Source organism: Homo sapiens, chromosome 10 (genome assembly GCF_000001405.40).
Source record: "Homo sapiens chromosome 10, GRCh38.p14 Primary Assembly".
NCBI classification, from domain to species: Eukaryota; Metazoa; Chordata; class Mammalia; order Primates; family Hominidae; genus Homo; species Homo sapiens.
Window position 1 is genome coordinate 35,384,098 of NC_000010.11, and position 19,302 is coordinate 35,403,399.

Here is a 19,302-nt window from a genome sequence, read left to right on the forward strand (position 1 = left end):
TTCCTTCCCCTTCATATTTTAGCAGAATAGCTATATAAACCCAAAAGTATTTGAGACAGGTCGCAATCAGTTTAGAAGTTTATTTTGCTAAGATTAAGGACAATGACGGGGATTAAAAAAAACATGGCATCACACAAGCAGTTTATAGTCTGTGCTTTTCTCCAAAGATGATTTTGAGGGCATTAGTATTCAAAGGGGAAAAGCAGGCTGAAGGGGAAAGAGGGTAGGGTATTACTGAATCCACATGTTGCAAGAGAAAAGGAGCAGGTAGGGGAATAGTCAGTTACGTATTCCTCTGGAACTCAGTAAATCAACACTTTACCTAGATAAGGTGAACATAGAGTAGCCGCCTGTGGAGATACTTAACGTTTTATCAGTAGCTATCTACGTAGGAACAAAAGGAAAGGCAGCATCTTGCATGACTTAGCTTTCAGCTTAATATTTCTCCTTTTGACATATTGAATTGGAGTCCCAAGTTTTTGTTTTCCTTTCACAGCTACTTGGCTTTCGAGTGGCCCTGCAGTGGAGGGGCGGGGTGGGTACACATCACGACTCACATAGGGTGAGTCCATCTGGGTCTATACACTCATGTGTGGAGATGACTCCAGGCCAGTCCTGGGCACATAGTTTGCCTGTCCTTCTCCCCCAGGGACAAGGTGCCCCTGGGACCCTTTCAGTTTAGGTTTGTGGGAAGAGCTTTCCTCACAAATTGCTTCCGTGGGCTTCCGAGACAGCAGGCCTGCCGTCTGAGAATTCTGTTGGCTCCTCAATTGATGCCTTGGTGGGATTATCTAATTTCTGCCATGGTCCATACCCACATTTGCCTCAGGAAGTTCCTGCCTGTGCTCAGGTGACTGATGAGTTCCTTTTGGGCACCATTTCAGCTAAAGGCAGTCATCTCTAGGAACTCAGATTAATGCACAATGTCAGATCTACAGCCTTCGTTCCTACCATATGGATTGAGCTTATCTGTATTTTATAGTGAGTGTGGCAGAAAGATAGTAGCAGAGATCCAGGTACATAACAGCTATCGATGGATTGAGAATTGATAGTGGCTCATAATCTGGTTACTTGTATCTTTCATTATTGTGATTTGATACTATTAAATCTCAAGTATAGCAATATGTGAATTCAAATTATCATACTCTTATTGTTTATCCTTTTTAGCCCTAATTTGCAGAAGGTGATTAACCCAGAGCAGGGATATGCGAGTGGTCTCCCTCCCTCCCTCACCGTTTGCCAGCAATAAAGGATTATTTGTACATCATTTGTATTTCCAACTCCTGTGGTACTCCTGTACTAAATGGGTGATTCAGGTAAATGAAGTTAGTTCAGTGATTGTGATCCCTGTGTGACCACTTTAGTTTTTATTTGTGTTTAAAATTAAAAACTAAACTTGAGGCATAATATCATTTGGTACCTGCAAATTTTAATTAACACATGGAATGCTTTGTCCACAGTTTTCCAAAGTGGTTATGCCACTGTATACTCCCAGAAGCAAAGGTGAGAATATTCCAGTTGCCCCATATTCTTACCAATACCTGATATTTCTTTAAAACACGTGAAATTGAGTTTCACTGTAATCTTCCTAATAATAGATAAGAACGTTTTAAAACCCAGTTGCCCTTTGCAGTGTGCGTCATCAGAACCGTCCAGTCTTGGGGTGCCTTCCATAAATGAGAACTTTGTGATCTCCTCTTCCACGAATGAGATATTTAGTTATTTTGTTGAGGAGTGATACCAGCCTTTTGCTCAGCCTCTTGAAAGAGAAAAGGTCAGCATCATCTTAGGGATTTCATTGAGCACAAAAACAGAATTTACCATAAGCATGTGTGAGCTCTGAATGTCACTACATATCTGTCCTAATGCGTCTCATGTTTTAAGTGTCTTGCTCCTTTGTCTTTCTGTTTTTTTTTTCCCCAGCAATCTGATTGAAATGGGAAACAGAGGGATAGGAATAGCGTGCGCTTTTGGACCTCTGGATATGTAATTCTGCTAGATTTAGCCAAAAATTTGTGTCACGTTCCTATAGAAGAGAGCTACTGACCTGGGGATGCTTAACTTGGGGCCGGCTTGTTGAGAAGTCATACATTACATTCTGTGAATTTATCTTTTTTAAATCTTCGTATCGTGTCAGAGTCTCTGGAACCTTTTTTGTCCTTAGCTCCCTTTAACCTTTGTGCTAGAGAAAAGGCAGGTCCAGAATGGAAAGGGATTTCCCGGTAAAGCATGGCAGCTTTTCTCATCCTGCAGGTCTCTCTTAAGAGAGCTATGCATCCTGGTTCTTAGAAGATGGCAGGTGAGGAAGGGGCCTCTGATATCCAAAGTTAGACTTGATTGTTCTTTAGTAGTGACTGAGTCTAAGGGAGTATTTGTTGTTTGGAGCTTTAAAGTTTATTGTATATAAGCAGTATCCCATTATGTCAGTTTCCATTATAAAAATACTATACTTTATTATTGGCTTTTACAATATGAGAATGCAGGTTTCCCTAAACTGATGACTTAAATGGACTCGGGAGTCCACATGGTGGTGACTTGTGTGAGCTCATCTTGCAGTGTACGGCCTTCCAATATTGACCGAGTTGAAGGAAACTTGGAGGTTTTCTGGGAACTAATCTTCAAATGAGGCATTTACAGTATATTGTTACTTTTGTAGGATTGATTATGTGTGGAAAATGCATTCTTAGATATGTCAAGATTCCTTCATTGATTTTTAATAATGAAGGTCTTTAGTAAAACCTGTTTTTTTGTTTGTTGTTTGGTTTTTATGGAGGGGTGGGGGATGGTGCAATTCTCTGAAAGCGTTGGGAGTGAAAAGCTGGCAGTGGCCCAAATGCAGTGCTGCCTTTGTGCACGTTCACATTCTTCAGTGAACACCAGCAGGCCTTCAGTGATTTCCTGCTGTTGGGCCAAAACATAGCTAGTACCATTTTATGCTCCCCCTGAGCTGCCAACATACTACACTACTGAGAGGAATTCCACTGTCCTTTTATTCTAGAGGTGAATCTATTCTGAACTTTTATGGGAGAGAAATGAGACTGACTTAAAAAATACACAGGAAAAAATCTCCCATTCCTCTTTGATTAACTTATGAACAAAGGAAAACACCAAAACTTATGATTGATTGCTTTAAAAAAGTTACTGCCAGTGAGATAGTCCTTTTCCTCCTCAGGATGCTGAGTTCCTTCCCCATGTAGCTTGCTGAGGGGTTGCGGGAGCTCCCATAAGAATGCCTGGTGATGATGGTGGTTCTGAGGCTTCAGGGTTCTGCCCCTTCTGGATAGAAATGCAGAGGAGGCTGCTCTACAGCTGGACAGTAGTGAGCTCTGGGCCGCCATGAGACTGCCTGCTCCATGTTGTATGTGGGGCAGATGTGGGAGAAGGATGGTGGGAAGAATGGCTTCCAAACTGTCGATTGATCAGATAAACAAGGGAGGATGCCAGGGGATAATGCCAAGAAGAGGTGGGTAAAGAAAGGAAAGGAATCCACAAAAGGGAGGAGGGGAGTGCAGGTGTGCATGTGTTCTGAAAAGTGCTCATGCACATACAGTTTGCTTATTATTTAAAAACTTACTGTGTGGAGTTTTCTAAGTGTATTTTATAAAGCAAGATAAATGTTTGGGTTTTGTGTAAATACATTTAGTAGTTAATGTATAGCATGTAGAATTAAGCATCTTCTTCCTGAGTGAACTCACTGCCAAGATCCACGTAAGAATATTTAAAGTCACAGATCTTTGGTGGATTCTGAACACAGCTGTAGGATTCCATACTGAAGCACAGCTTTCCTGAAAATAGCCAAATTAGGTATGGCCCTTCCCCTCTGGCCTTAGTTCTTCTGCCTTTGTGCACGTTCACTTACTTGAGATGACTTAGTTGAGTCATCTCAAGTAAGTGAACAAATGCTGGGCCAGTGTCCAGGAGGAAGCAGCCCCTTTGTGTGTTTTCATGTTCCTTTAGCATTTCAGAATGTGGCCTGACAGGTAACTGTGGGGCTATATTTGACTCCTGGAGAGCAATTCTAGAGAAGGAGATGCTCTGGCCCCAGGCCAGGGGTGGGCTGTCTTCTGCAGCCTTTCCTGGTATCACATTTAAATGTTGTGCTCCATTTGTATTTGGAGAGTGTATTTGTAGAGTATATAGGTAGGCTATATTTGTAGAGTGTTGGCTGACAAAGGCTGAAACAAAATAGATTGTCTGAGAGCAGACATCTCAGAAGGCCCAGATGAACACTTATATATGTGGCACAGAAGTACTAGGTGGCACTGCAGTTTCTGTATGAATAGTTAATGGCCTTGTATTGGCAAGTAGTTTGTCTTCCACATCACAGCTCTGTTGACTGGTGAGTCTATGAAAGATGTTCTGGGAGCAGGCTGGAAACTTAGTGTCACATGATGGCTATATACCACTCAACATTTGCATTTTTGCACCCAGCTTTAGGTTTAATGAGCTTCCTCTCCTTGTTGGGTGTGGCTGATGGAATGAGTATTCTCTTTTGACATATAAATAATTGCGTTTTCTCTTTTGACATATAAATAATTGCATTTTCCAACAGAAAGGCTCTGTGTTCATTTTCTGCTGCTGCCACAACAAATTGCTATGCACTTTCTGGCTTAAAACAATACAAATGCATTATCTTATACTTCTCTAGTTTAGAAGTCTGACCTGGGTATCACTAGGCTAAAATCAAAGGGCTGGCAGTGCTGAGGTCCTCTGGAGGCTCTCAGGGAGAATCTGTTTCCTTGCCTTTTCCAGTGTCTAGAGGTTGCCTGCGTTCCTTGGCTCATGGCCCCCTCCTGTTTCCAAAGTCAGTGGCCTACCATGTCTGGAGTGTACTTCTGTCAGCACATCCCTGTCTCTTCTGCCTTCTTCTTCCACTTTTAAGGAGATTGCTTTAGGCTCACCCAGATAATACCAGGAACATCTGTTTTATAGTCAGTGGATTAACAACTTTAATTCCATCTGCAACCTTAATTCCCCTTTGCCATGTAAGATTGCAGGTTCCAGGGATTAGGACGAGGACATCTTTGGGGACGTTATTCTGCCTAGGACAGGCTCTCTTTCTGTGTTTCCTTAGAACCCTCATCTATATCAGATTATATTAGAAGTTGTCTGTTTATATATATTTTATTGCTGCTACTACTACTACTGCTACTACTACTGTAGTCTACTACATTTTACAGACTTCTCAAGGTCAGGCACTGTTCGTTTCATCTTTGAATCCTGGCATTACCACAGCCCCTGGTGTACATATATGGTGCTTAGTAAGTGTTTGCTGAGCTAAAGGGAACTCTTTCAACTCCCTGATTTTACTTATGAACAAACTAAGAAATAGAAAACTGTGCTTTTTTTTTTTTTTTTTTTGAGACGGAGTCTAGCTCTGTTGCCAGGCTGGAGTGCAGTGGTATGATCTCGGCTTGCTGCAACCTCTGCCTCCCGGGTTCAAGCAGTTCTTTTGCCTCAGCCTCCCAAGTAGCTGGGATTACAGGCGCCTGCCACCATGCCCAGCTAATTTTTGTATTTTTAGTAGAGATGGGTTTTACTGTGTCGGCAAGGCTGGTCTTGAACCCCTGACCTTGTGATCCGCCCACCTTGGCCTCCCAAGGTGCTGGGATTACAAGCATGAGCCATCACACCCGGCTGAGAATTGTGACTCTTAAAGTAGTGAGAACTCAAAAACCCTTTTATGTTGACTTCCATAAAACTGTGAAATGCCAAGTTCAATTCTTCATGCTTGGAAGAAAACTTGGGTATGCAATAAGAATGTGTTATTGTTGCCTTCTCTCATAAAGGCATCGTCTGATATTGGTCATGAGCATAGAACAAAATGAACAAAGTGAATTATTTCCTATCTATCTGAAGACTGCTCTCTGCTAAACAGAGTATCACTTAGTCATAAATCAGCTCAGTGTTTAGTAAATGGAAAATGAGGAAGATCTCCTACCAGGCATTCATTGGCTCGCTTTTAAGGATTATACTTTCAAAATGTGAGAACTATCAGATTATGTTTGTACAAAATATGGCATACAAATTAAATAAGCACAGTAGCATAATTTGATCTTGCTTTATCCCATGCACTTGTGGCTGAATATAGATAAATTCTTGTCAATTAGTTTTGACCTTGTCTAAATGCCTTGCAATGATTAATTAGTAGGAAGCAAACCTAGGATGGCAAAACACCCCAAAATAGTTGCCCAGGATGCCTGGTGTGCCAGCAGACGGTATTTCCATCCCAGGATCAGGCTGCTGAGGAAACCCATGTTCTTTTGCAAGATTGGCACACATTCAGGTGGTTTTAAAATAGAGCTGCTTATCTGTTGTGTTTATTTTGGTATTTGAAATTTTTTATATCAAAGCTAGCCCTAAAGAAAACAACAGATTTTCTTAAGTTTTTATTTAAATACTGGCTGCTTTGAGGATGTGCCTACAGATTTGGTTTTGGTGTGAACCAATGATTGACAGTTGTCACCTGATAAAAGGGCTCCCTTACCTCTCCCTTACTTCAGTGCCTTGGAACTTTCTGGGCCTTAGAGTTGCAGTCTCATTTCCCTCTGCTTCCCAGCCTATGTGCAGGGCAGACCTCTTCTTCCCTCAGTAACCCCCAGCTCAGCACACTTGCTGCCAAAGATGCCTTTGTACTTGGCAATGTGGCATAGGGCGGTGATTTTCAAACTGTTGTTTAGTTTGGGAAGTCATGGAACTCCTGTATTATTATTATTATTTTTAATGACATGTAAATGCTCAAGATACATAACATGAATTAAAGTGGAATTGCTGAGGTTGAAGATGAGTGGGAACCCAGGGCCCTGCTGAGTTGGGGCCTGAGGCCAAGTGTCCAGGAATCCCTCTGGGAACACGGAACCCAGTTGAAATATTCTTAAAGTGGAAAGAGTACAGACTCCACCACTTACTAGATGGATGAGATGTGTGACTTTGGGCAAGTTATTGTTAGAAATGAAATGCTTGTTCCCCAGTGCCGCAAAGAAATAGCACTCAAACATAAATTTAATTCTCTCAGCAAGGCAATTTTTACTTTCTGCAGAAAGGGTGCTCATTGCAGATGGAACAATGGCCAGAGCACACCTGGACAGGGGAGGGGCAGGGGTTCTTATTCCTGATGCAGGTAGCCCCTACTGCTATGTTGTTCCCCTATTGGCTAGGGTTGGACCGCACAGTTTAAGCCAATTCTGATTGGCTATTTTAAAGAGGTCATGGGTATGAGGCAGAGTGGCGGGGTGAGTAGTTTGGCGGGAAGGCCAGTTAAGAACAGGTAACTAAAGGTGACTTAGGTCAGAGCAAGTGACCAAGGGTGACTCAGGTCAAAGCAGATGACCGGAATGAGTCAGGACAGAGCAGATGACCAGGGGAACAGATGTGAACTACTGATTAGGACTGGCCGGAAGGTTGTTTACTGAACCTAGAAGCAAGTGGGCGATGAGAACCAGGAAGTTAAACTTTAAAATGGAGAATCAAAGAATAAGAGAGCTGAACCTACTGACATACTGATTCTTTGAAGAGAAACTTGGGGTTCACCATATTTAACATTACCCTAGTTTTTAGTCTTCTCATCTTTAACATGGGAATGATAGTACCTGCCTTACTGGATGGCGGCAAGGATAGACAAGCTCATGCTTGGAAGGAGCCTGGGATCAAGCAGGTTCTCAGTCAGTGGTAGACATAACTGTCACTTTGTGATTCTTCTCCCTGCCCCTCCTCCCTCTTCCTGTTATCCCCCTCCTACTCCCCGCTCTGCTACCGTTCCTCTTCTTCCCTCTTCCTTTTGTTTTTATCTACCACCCTTCATGGCCTGGCTGGTGCTGGCCTCACTTCTCCCATGACTGTCTCATTGCCTGTTCCTAGTCACAGGAATCGCAGCCTTCTATAACATTTATTCCTATAACATTTATTATTTGTTCCATTAAAATGTTTTCAAAATGACATTTTATGTCATTATAAAAGGAACATATGTTTGTAAAAGGAATATATGTTTATTGCAGAAAATTTAGAAGATATGTAACTACAAGATCTTTCAAGATAGGAACTCTTTTTATATTTTTTTCCTGCTGCGTATAGTGGGAATCATCCATTTCATACTTAATATTCCTGATAGATAAAAAACAATTATTAGTTTTGAGTCTGTGGAGTTTTATTAACTCATTTGAAAGAAATTTTTATTTTTATGGCAAAGGAGGAAAGAATGTCCTCCATGAAGTTGAGAACATAAAGACCAGAGGAAGGCACTGTTCTGGGTGTTGTGAAGGATGTAGAGTGACCCAGGCCAGGCTTCCTGTCCTTCAGGAGCTCATAGTTCAAATAGGACTAAATGCTATTAAAAAAATAATCTAGTTACTGGTACAGAGAGAATGTCCCGTGGACTCATTGAGGATGAGGAGGTCCAGTCCTGCTGGGGTATCTGAGAAAGCTTCAGAGGCATTGGAATTAGAACCAGATCTTGAAGGGAGTAAGGATTTTGACAGATGGCCAGATGGCACTGAGAACATTCTAGTGGTGGGGAAGTGAAGTGTGGGATGTGTTTAGGTGACCCCACTGGTTGAAAGCAGAGGAGAGGGTCAGCTGGGGAGCTGGGCCTTGAATGCCAGGCCAGTCCTCAGAGCTGTACAGTCACCGCAGAGTTGGGAGTGGAGAAGTGACATGACCAGGTGACAGGACTGGTGGGAAGGTTTGAGGTGGAGCGGCCAGGAGGACTTTAGTTGTGGCCATTACAGAGCCTAGCCCAGATGACAATGACCATCTCCTTGACCAGATGCTACTCAGTCTCCTTCGAGTCCTCTTTTTGACTAGGCCTTTTTCTTGGGTCCTGTCTTCAGGCTGCATAGCTCTGCTAAGTCAGTTTAGCTACAACCTCCCACCCTTGAGCTCTCCTCCCCCGGCCTACGTTCAGCAAGAATCCCCCTCCCCTTGCTGTCTCCTGTGAGTTATTTTCCATCCACTGACCCTGCTCCCTCTGCGCATTGGTGCTAAGTCCCCAGCTGCCCTGTGTTTTCTGAGTTGAGCTCCGTCTCCTTCCCCTATTAGGATAGTCTTAGCATCTGTCACAGTAGTCCTGGGAAAGTCTTCCTCACCATTTTAATAAGCGTCAGAGTAATTTTTTCTTTTACACAGATCTAGTAAAGAGATGCTCCTATAAGTATATGATGAATTGAATTGACTTGAGGAAAGATGAGGCAATCAAATAACAGTGTTTTCTCAAACCTTGCTGTCCGGGCTTTTTGTTGTCATTGTCCTGAGTGGTGTCCTGTGTTTTTTATTGACTCAGAAATCGTGGCCTGGTTACTATTTGGGAAGGCATGTCTGTGAACCAGTGCAAATTGGTGGCGTTTAGTACCCCTGCATTTCCTTTTTAAATTCACCTTCCGCTTTCCCTTCCACCCTGTTGTAGGGACACCTGCCTTGCTCACAGGTTGTTCCTGGAGACTTTGCGTGAAGGCTGGTGTTGACCTGAAGCCCTCCTGCAGCTCGTTTTGCCTCCCTTGTGTTTTTCCTTACATCTTTTCCCTTCTCTGGCTTCCATCCATTCTCTGTGAAGAGGCAGCTCACTAGGTGAGCTGTGGCTTTAGAGCTTCTTTGCATTCAGTAGATTTCCAGGCCATTTTCTCCAGGCTTTTAGTGCATGGCGAAGGCATCATTGGATGAGTATCATCAGGAGGGAAAGGGCAGATGGCTGTGTGTGGACTGTTAAAGCAGTGTGTGGGCACGGTGGCACGCACCTGTAGTTCTAGCCACTCCAGAGGATTGCTTGGAGCCAGGAGTTCGAGATCAGCCTGGCAACATAGCGAGACCCTGTCTCTAAAAAAACAAAAAAGTTTACAAATCTAGGCTTTTAATCTGTATATAAAAAAAGAAATGAAACAACAGCAAAAAAGAATGCAGTTTGTCCAGAGACAGGGATGTGACTGGACAGCAGGAGTGAGTTGAGCCTTTCTTTGCCAGTGTTTGGTTCAGTGGACCCGTTCTTCACTCTCCAGTGCTCCGTGCAACTTATGTTTCCCCTCCTGTAACGACTGCTGGGAAACAGCATTCTCCAAGAGACGTGGAGCTGTGGCTAGAAATGGCCTTGTGGCTATGGTAATGCCCAAGTCTTCCTCATAGAGACCATTTGGCTGTTTTCTGATTTCTCCACTCCTAATTAAAGCTTTAGTTAATTGCCTGCACTTTGAGAAGCCTGGTAGAGATAACTTATAAGGATAGGTTAATGGTGAAAATGCTGAAATACAAGAACTGCCCAAACTGCCTTGATTCAATTAACATGTGCATTTTTCTTTAAAAGAATTTCGCGCTGTGAAAAGCCTAGTAATTGTGATTTAAATTGTTTGATAAAAGCGTTCATTTGATTGCAGACTTGAGTAACTCACATTTGTTTAAAAGACTCATGATGGGGACAAGGGGGGTTAGGTTGATTGGCTTAAGATCCTATCTGAAGTTGAAGTGTATGGGTCACACGGCCGGCTTCAAGGCATTGTTTGGACCGGTCAGAGGTGCAGGGTGGCACTTCATGGCTTTCACGCTGAGTTGGTTCTCAGCCAGGCTGGTCTTTTGGTATGCTGTCGCATAGACACTTGTTAATATTTAAAGTATCTCTGACATCTTGTGCCTTTTAGTTCAAGATTTTTGTTTGTTTTGTTTTTAGGGCATGTTTTTCATTCCTTACTTAACCTCTGTTTTGAAGGGCCTTGGTGACCACACCATATTCTCCTGTTTAGGTGACCCCAGTGGCTGAAAGCAGGAGAAAGTGTTTCATCACGGGCCCTCTCCTTCTGAATACTGTGAGTCTGTGCCTTGGAAAATTAAATGGGAGTATTGTAAAACTCACTGAGGGCTTCTCTTTGGAAACTTCACATCCATTCGCCACATATTCTTCCCACCCTCCCCCGCCCCACAATAGGAATTAAAAATTTGGAGTTGAAGAAGAAAGCTAGAAGTATTATGAAGCAGCCTTGTTTGCTTTAATAAAGTAATAGTTCTAGTTTATCCTCACTTTCCTATGTAGTGTGCTCCCTTAAAGATGACTCAGACAGGTGACTCCCTCAGTCTTCTCCCTGCGGTCTCACTACCTGGGGTACTAACAGTTAAGAAGTTTTTACCAGAAAGTGATGGGTAATAGTACTGGCTTCCTCAGGAAAAGCTATGTGTTGTTCCATTGTTAGAGAAAAAAGCCAGAGCTGGGTAGTAGTTAAGGTGGTGAAAACAGTTTTACTCAGGAAAACTATTGCAGTAGGGGAGGAGAGATTCCAGTATAAAACCAGGCTCAATGGCAAGTGCAGCATGGGCCACTGGGAATTCAGAACCAAGGAGCAGTGCGAAGGTCATTGTATGGAAATTACTAGAGGTAACCTCAGGGGTTAGGGGGATTCTAGCTCAACTGACCCAACGAGGATTCTTGCTGAGGATAAGTCAGGAGAATCAGATGTCACCTGGGGGGTTGTGGGGGACAGTAGAGGACGAGGAACACATCAGATATTGAGGGTGATCAGATGTTGAGGAGGGGGGCAATTCAGCTAAACTGACTTAGCAGGGCTTTTGCCAAAGTCAGGAGACGCAAAGAAAGATATGGAGGGCCAAAGGTGGAGGTCCATTTTGGAAGAGCCTTCAGAGCAGTCCGACTAAAGTTTGGTAAGAGAGAGACGCTGTCAGCGCCTGGTTGTGTGTTACTTTTAGGTCCTGTGCACTGTCTTTTTTCAGTTGAAAGGACAAACCCTCACCTTCAGCTGTCCTGGGTGCATCTCTGAGGCTGGGTTTAGGGCTGGGCCTCTCCAGTGGCTCCTGGGGATGGGGGCAGCACTCACCCTTTGCGGAGGTTTTACAGCATCCCCAGCTGGCCCAGTGTGCGGGTGTTGTGGGGTGCATAGGGCCCCCGAGAGAGGCTTTGGGTCTGTCTCAGTGTGCATGTTACTGTGTTATGCTGTGGTGGCTCCCTCTTTTTGCCTCTGTGAATGGTGGGCTCCAGAGGGCTGGGATACTGACTGGCTCTTTCATCCTCTCGTCCCCAGCATGGCGTTTTGCACATAGCAGGTGCTTGATATGTAGTGTGTGAAGCAATGAAGATTGTTTGTGAAAATTGGGTTCAGTTCTTTATACTCATGGTGGTAGGATCGGGGGATCACAGTGTAGAAACTAGTTGAGAGAGCCTGGAGTATGGAAAGCTATAATTATTTTAAAAGCTTTCTCTCAACAGGTCATTTCATTCTCACACCTTCCCAAAGCACTCACCAGACAGGCCGACTGGAGTTTCACCTCCCCATCTGTGCTCTGCTCCCCACCCTACAGCTGAGTTGTAAGAGGCAGGTGCCGCAAGAAGGTGGGGTGGGGGGCAGCCAGCCTGAGTATCTGCAGGTTGGAGAATGAGCCCTCCTTCTTGGCCCTCCGTAATTGAATGTTATGCTGCCTCTCTGGTACTGTTAATGGGCCAGGGTGCCCCGATGTTCTCACTGACTCTGAAATGAACCATTTCTCTGTTGCGTGTTCTCGGCATCTGGCAAGGCCATGGTGGGGAGAGAGCGCTCCAGCCTTGCCCCAAGGGCTGGTGAGGAGGTCCAGACAGTTTCACCTAGGCCTCAGGGACGCTTCCCATGAGAAAAGAGGATTCCTGCTGGGCCAGGCACTCCTACCCTGCAGCGTGGGAGCAGTCGCTGGAGGTGCTTGAGTTGCTGGGTGCTGTGTCCCAGTGCCCCTGCAGTCCTCTTCGTGCTCTCCCCGTGAGGCTCCCAAGGCAGGATCTGGAGGCGCAGACTGTTCAGGCAGCCTTGTCTGGCTTGCAGGATTCCTCTAAGCTCTGGGTTTTCTAGGATTCCAATTACAAAGGGTTATAATCCCATCTCCTGTTGGGTAAGGAAAATTCAAAGTACTGGAGAGAGATCAATTTTTCTGCCTGTTACAGTTCTGGGGGCTGGCTCAGAGGGAGCAGGTTCTTAGCACTGCTCACGTGGCAGCTCCAGGTGCCCCTTGGACCCCACACTTTACCACATAGCCCTGTTCTTCCTAGGGCTGGGGTCCCTCTGCCACTGCTCTGTGGACTTTTGTGCAAAACACACGCATACAACAAACTTGGAGCTAGTAGGAAACCTTTGTATTCAGAAGAAAAGTGGAAACAAAACAAAAGTGTTGAAGTTGTTCTGGTAGCCGGCCTTGTGCAGGCAGCAGTGGTGTCTCTAGTGGTTCCTCCCTTCAAACCTACTTACCCCATGTCATTATATTTAGCACAGTACCTGTAATCCTTCCACTAAGTTCCCTAACCTTTATAATTATTCAGCAGCAAATATTGTACCTTTGGGATCCTAAGGAGCTAGCTCTTGCTTCCTTCCCCCCTTATCTCTGGGAGGTAGCTTGTCGCAGACCCTACCTTAGAGGTACTCAGTTACTTTGGAGGGCAGAATTAGTCTCTGATGGGGATACCATTTCCCTCTTTGGCCCTGGATTGGGGAGGAGGAATTCTAGGAGGTAGGGGAGAGACACAACATTGGCGGTGGGAGAGAATAACACTTCTTCTAAGGTCAGGTCAGCCTTGTATGCAGGGTACCAAATGAACCCTGTCCCTGGGACCAAAGACTGAGAACTTGGGCTAGGAGCAGCAGTGCTGGCAGTGCTTGAGTTATGTCTGAACCATCCCAGGAGATTCCAGAATTATGGAGCTCTATCAGAAATGGCCCCAGCTGTGTGTGGGCTGCTGCATCTCTCCTGCCTGGATGCATGTGTGTCCTTTCCCTCTGCTGTCCTTCCAGTTTCTCATTTTGATCCTTAGGTGGATTAAAGAGAGGACCTTAAATTGCCAGTTGCTAACCTTGAGTGAGGATTCCCAGAGGAGTGCTGGTGCAATATAGGCAGGACTTCCCCCTCTGGTGATGTGCTTGCTTCCAGGGCCGAGGGAAGGGGAGGCACAGTGAGACCAGACTCTGTTCTCTGAGCAGTGCTGGAGGAGAAACACCCTCATCCATGTGGAGTGGGCATGGATGGAGGCAGCAGGGAGGGTAGTAGCTGGGCTTCCTGGGGCCCGTGGAGGCTGAGAGCAAAGCCATATGATCAAGGAGCATGACCAGGAAGCCAGTGGGGGTCCCGTCTGCTGCATGAGAGCCACCCCCTGGAGCCTAGGGCCCCGACTGTGGGCAGAGCTGGCCCTCCATTCTCTGCAGTGAGTATGGGGACAGATGTGATTGTGATCCTCTCAGAGGACTGATGCATTTTGCCAGAGACATGGAAGTGGCTTAAAAGCCAGCAAGGTCCTTGGTGGACATGATATAGATACAGGTTGTGTTCCTTGGAAGTGACCAACACGTGTCCTTTTGCATGGCGGAGATTCGGAAATGCAGCCTGTGCTAATCCTCTCAGGTCCTTTTGTTACGACTGTGGAGCCCCATGATTTGGTCACTACTTGGGGTCATTTATGTGTCTGGCTGGTCCAGTTCCTATGTTTTGACTGCTGGGACCAACAGCTGTGTGTGATTAGGGCATTGCCAAGTTCCCGGTGGTAGAAATCGTTTACCATATGGTTCTCGAGATGTCATTGTGTAATTCAAACTCCTAAGGCTGTAAGTTTTGCTAACTGCTCTTGGTGGGGCTCTCCCTGCATTTTACAAAATGCTCACTAGTTTTTGTCTAAAAACAAAACAAAACAAAAAACCGTAAAGTGACCAGTTAAGTAAATTTGCAGATAAAATACCCTTACAAGTTTCTTCCTTTAAAATCACTGAAAATATGCTCAATTTTTATTTAGTTTAACCAGACCACATTTGTGAGGGTAAGATATTCCCAGGCTATTCTGAGAAGGGGTTTAGCCTGAGAACTGGTGGAGCCTGGGAAGGGATAAGGCCTGCCTTGCCTGACAGAGCTGCCCCTGTGAAGAATCAGACATACGCCGTGCTTGCTTTCCTGGCCTTTCAGCTTGGTATGTCAGTCCCTTATAGCGTAGGCTTGTAGCAGACTCGCTGCAGAAATGCATTTTAAGTTCCAAGCAAATGTACAAATGAACTTTGAGAACCCAACTGACTTGAAAGCATGAGCTGATTGGGTTTCTCACATGGTTTCTTCCCACATTTTATAAAGTTCCTGCTTTTTAACCATGTGTGCTTGACGGTAAGACAACTAAGGGCACTTTGAAAGTGAGGGTGGCATTTTGGATGTTCCTGTTGAGCATGGTGAGGTCGTAGCTCCCTGCTGGGCCGTGGAGGCTGTGGACTGCATGTCTGGCTGCTAACTCTTGGCTTGACTGCCCAGGATGCTTATCCATGTTTGAGGTTACTTCTCGGGGACTGGTGTCTTGGGTGTCTACTCCACTTTTCTGGAAGTCTTTTTACTCCACCACAGAATTTGGGTACTAGTGTGTGAAGTGGTGAGAAGGTGACATGACTTACAGACCAGCCTGCCTGCCAGGTGGCCGACACAGGACACAACGCTGTTTAATTCAAGGTGTGAAGGGAGGCACAGGCTATTCTGCTTCCTCAATTGAAAAGGAGCAGGATGGGTGTGGTGTTTCACGCTGTTAATCCCAACACTTGGGAGGCCAAGGTAGGGGGTTTGCTTCATGCCAGGAGTTCAAGACCAGCCTGGGCAACATAACGAGAGTCTGTCTCTACAAAAATAAACATAAAAGATAAGGGGTTATCTCTCTTCTGCAGTAGATCTTTTATGTGCGGAGTACTGATAGGGAGATACATAACTGGACTCCCCCTTAGCAGATCCCAGTAATATGCTCCCTTCAGTGCCATGCGGGGGAGAAAATTCTGACTGTTATGTAGCAAACCCTGAGAAGACTTCTTCCTGTAGATTGGAGATGTTCTGGCTGAACACAGGATTGACCTCCAAACTGGTGTTTTTGTTTTTGGAATAAGATACATGGCTAGTAGAGATAAAGTTCTGTTGACATGGAAGGCTAGGTATGTTCTCCAGTTTACATGGGGACTCAGAAAATATGTGGAGCTGGAGTCTCAGAGAAGGGACATGCAATGGGTCCCTTCTGACACCTGCCTGCTTCCCATCGCAGATCTCCCTTGCCTGATTTTAGCCCTGTGGATAGCTGTTCTGTATATTTGGATTTTCTTCCAGCACCATCTATTTGATGTAGGCAGTTTTATAGAAGAATTCTTTTGGATTTTGTAAAATACTAAAAACGGCTTCTAGTGGTTTGATGAAAGGCATTCTGTTTAGAATCTCCCTAGCACAGTGCAGGGGGCGGCGGGGGTGGTGGGGTGGGGTTGTTTCCCCTCTTGGAGAGGAAGCTGCACAGATCCCTCCCTGTTTTCCCCCTCCCCTCACCTTGGGAATGAATTCCTGGGGCATTTAGGTTGGTCTCTTTGAATTAGCTGGTTCAAAGAGGGAGAGAAGATGCTTCACGTCGTGGAATGGAGCCTTGTAATTGCTGACTTGATTGGATTACCCGAAGTAACCTTTTATGCTTAGTTAAGAATATGCTTTGTTGAGAAAGCATATTTCTGTTTTAAAATATTAGTAATTTTTTCCGACCAACCTCTTCTCTAACCTCCCAACTAAAAGAATTATCAGTAGCTGTTTCCAGAGTTATCTACTGTTCGTTAGATAATTAGGGGCAGGAATATTTATTAATGGTGCAATATGTACTTAAACAGTATTTTTGATGGGGAGAATTCAAGTACATGAAAGCAAGGGCGTGTTTTCTCCTCCCCCGGGATTGTAACTTGACTTCTCTCTCTCTTTTCTAGAGTCTCTTAAAGCATTTTGGAATGGAATGGTTGCTGTTACAAGTTGAGCCATGGTGCAGTTGCTGTGGAAACTCTAGCATGACTTCCCAGACTACTGTGTGTTTTTTAATAGTAGGCACACCATGGCATTGAACTATTATCTTAATGCGCACTTTTTTTTTGAGAGAGAAATAGAAGGTGGTAGAGAAGAGAAGAGACTTTCTCAAATGTACACTTTGTGGAATACTTTACTGAAGTAACTGTGCTCTGAAGGGTGTGCAGCAGCACCTAGGGTGGAGGCCCAGCAACTGGCCGGCCCCGGCCCAGGTGGCAGCTGAGTTTCAGCTCTGTCGAGCATCAGCAGTTCCTATTTTTTGTAGAATTTTATACTGAGCTCTGTGTGCTTAGAATTGTTGGACTCTACCTGCCCTTGTGATAGTTCCTTCTCAGGTTTAATAAGAATAGAATAGGGAGCTGAGAGGCAGAGATGAGTGCAGAGGACTGCGTAGAGGACCATTTGCTTACCAGGAAAGGAAGCTGCAGGTGTGCTCTTTTGTGATAGTGCTGTCTGTCTGTCTGGTTAAATCAGCATGGCTGGAGGTGATACTGAAACCCTGGAATCTGCAGGAGGATCACAAAACACTTTGCCGTCCAGTTCTGATTATCTGCCAGTTTCCTTCTTAAACAGCTATAACAAAAATTTATTTTGCCAGGAGAGAGATCAATTCTAAATTTCCCAAAGAAATTTTCTTTTCTTTTTTTTTTTTCTTAGGAGGTACAAGCAAAGGCATCTTCCTTTCTCCCTCTGAATTTTTTTTTTTTTTGCTCAAAATTAGCAGTAGTAATTGTCTCATGTGTGCGTGTGAAGAGACCACCAAACAGGCTTTGTGTGAGCAACAAGGCTGTTTGTTTCACCTGGGTGCAGGCGGGCTGAGTCAGCAAAGTGTGGTGGGATTATCATTAGTTCTTATAGGTTTTGGGATAGACGATGGAGTTAAGAGCAATGTTTTGGGGGCAGGGGGTGGATCTCACAGAGTACATTCTCAAGGGCGGGGAGAATTACCAAGAACCTTCTTAAGGGTTGGGGAGATTACAAAGTACATTGATCAGTAGGGCAGAAACAAATCACAGTGGTAGAATATCATCAGTTAAGGCTATTTTCACTTCTTTTGTGGATCTTCAGTTGCTTCAGGCCATCTGGATGTATATGTGCAGGTCACTGGGAATATGATGGCTTAGCTTGGGCTTAGAGGCCTGACGTTCCTGTCTTCTTATATTAATAAGAAAAATAAAATAGTGGTAAAGCGTTGGGGTGGCAAAAATTTTTGGGGGTGGTATGGAGAGATAATGGGCGATGTTTCTCAGGGCTGCTTCAAGTGGGATTAGGGACAGCATGGGAACCTAGAGTGGGAGAGATTAAACTGAAGAAAGATTTTGGGGTAAGGGGTGATATTGTGGGGTTGTTAGAAGGAACATTTGTTGTATAGAATGATTGGTGATGGCCTGGATGCAGTTTTTTATGAATTGAAAAACTAAACGGAAGACACAAGGTCCGAATAAAAGAAGGAGAAAACTAGGTATTAAAGGACTAAGAATTGGGAGTACCCAGGATGTCCAATTAGAAAGTGTCCAAAGGGGTTCAGTGTTATTGTTTGCTTGGTTGGCGAGTTTTTGGGCTCTATCCTTGAGTTTTTCTATGTTGTCATATACCAGGCCAGATTGATTTAGGTAAAAACAACAGTCTTCATTTAAAAATATAGAGAGTCCTCTTTTTTTAGCAGTGAGTAAGTTGAGGTCTCCGTGATTTTGGAGGAAAGAGAAATGCAAAGCCAGCAATTGTTTGTTAAAGAAGGATTAGAAACGTCTAGGAGACAGTGAATTTGATAGTGTGGTAGAGATAGCTGGGGAGAGGTAGAGGGTGGCATAAGAACAGGAATGAGAATAAGAGTAAATATAAAAGTAAAGAATAGGACTTCATCAGGGTGAAAGTATTGGAGGATACCTTGTCACTGAAGATCTTCTGTCCACTTCAAGAGAGACTTAAGGGTGGCAATTTGAGGTAAAACCAGGAGCCACTAAATACCAAGAGCCTGAGAAACTGCTTGGGTAATATGACTAGTAAAGGCCCGTCCGTTAATGGGACTGTATAGAGGTGGGAAGGCTAAACTGAAGAATTATGTCTGACAGAAGGGAAGAAATGACTGTGGTGGCCTTCTCAGACCCTGTGGGAAAGGTCTCTACCCATCTAGTGAAAGTGTCTACCCTGACCAAGTGGTATTTTGGTTTCCTGACTCCGGGCATGTGGGTAAAGTCAATTTGCCAGTCCTGGGCGGGGGAAAATCCCTGAGCTTGATGTGTAGGGAAGGGTGGGGTGGGGGGGGTTGGCCTGAACAATCCCTGAGGGGTAGTGGAATAGCACATGGAACACAGAGAAGTGATTTCCTTGAGGATAGATTTCCACGACGGAAAGGAAATGAGAGGTTCTAAGAGACGGGCTAGTGGCTTGTAACCTACATGGAAGAGGTTATGAAATGACGACAGAAAAGAATGGGCTTGTGAGGCTGGAAGGAGATATTTTCCTTGGTCTAAGAACCATTTGCCTTGTGTGGGAAGAGATTGATAGATGGAAGTTTCAGCAGGG

The 19,302-nt window shown here is 44.6% G+C and overlaps 1 protein-coding gene across 5 annotated transcripts in view, besides 1 other annotated feature; it reads left to right on the forward strand.

Moving 5' to 3' along the window:
* Positions 1-19,302, forward strand: part of CCNY (cyclin Y) — a 325,643-nt gene that overhangs the window by 137,073 nt on the left and 169,268 nt on the right. The window contains exon 2 of one of the 5 annotated variants that reach the window (NM_001282853.2): positions 10,719-10,781. The exons of the other annotated variants lie outside the window; for them this stretch is intronic. The gene's annotated coding sequence lies outside the window, so the exon portion shown is untranslated. The remainder of the gene's footprint in view (positions 1-10,718; positions 10,782-19,302) is intronic. 5 annotated transcript variants of the gene reach the window in all.
* Positions 9,384-9,678: a silencer, noted in NCBI's record as "tiled region #675; HepG2 Repressive non-DNase unmatched - State 7:EnhWF". NCBI's record gives its function as "represses a minimal TATA promoter and a strong SV40 promoter by Sharpr-MPRA in HepG2 cells {active_cell/tissue: HepG2}" and the evidence as "EXISTENCE:reporter gene assay evidence [ECO:0000049][PMID:27701403]".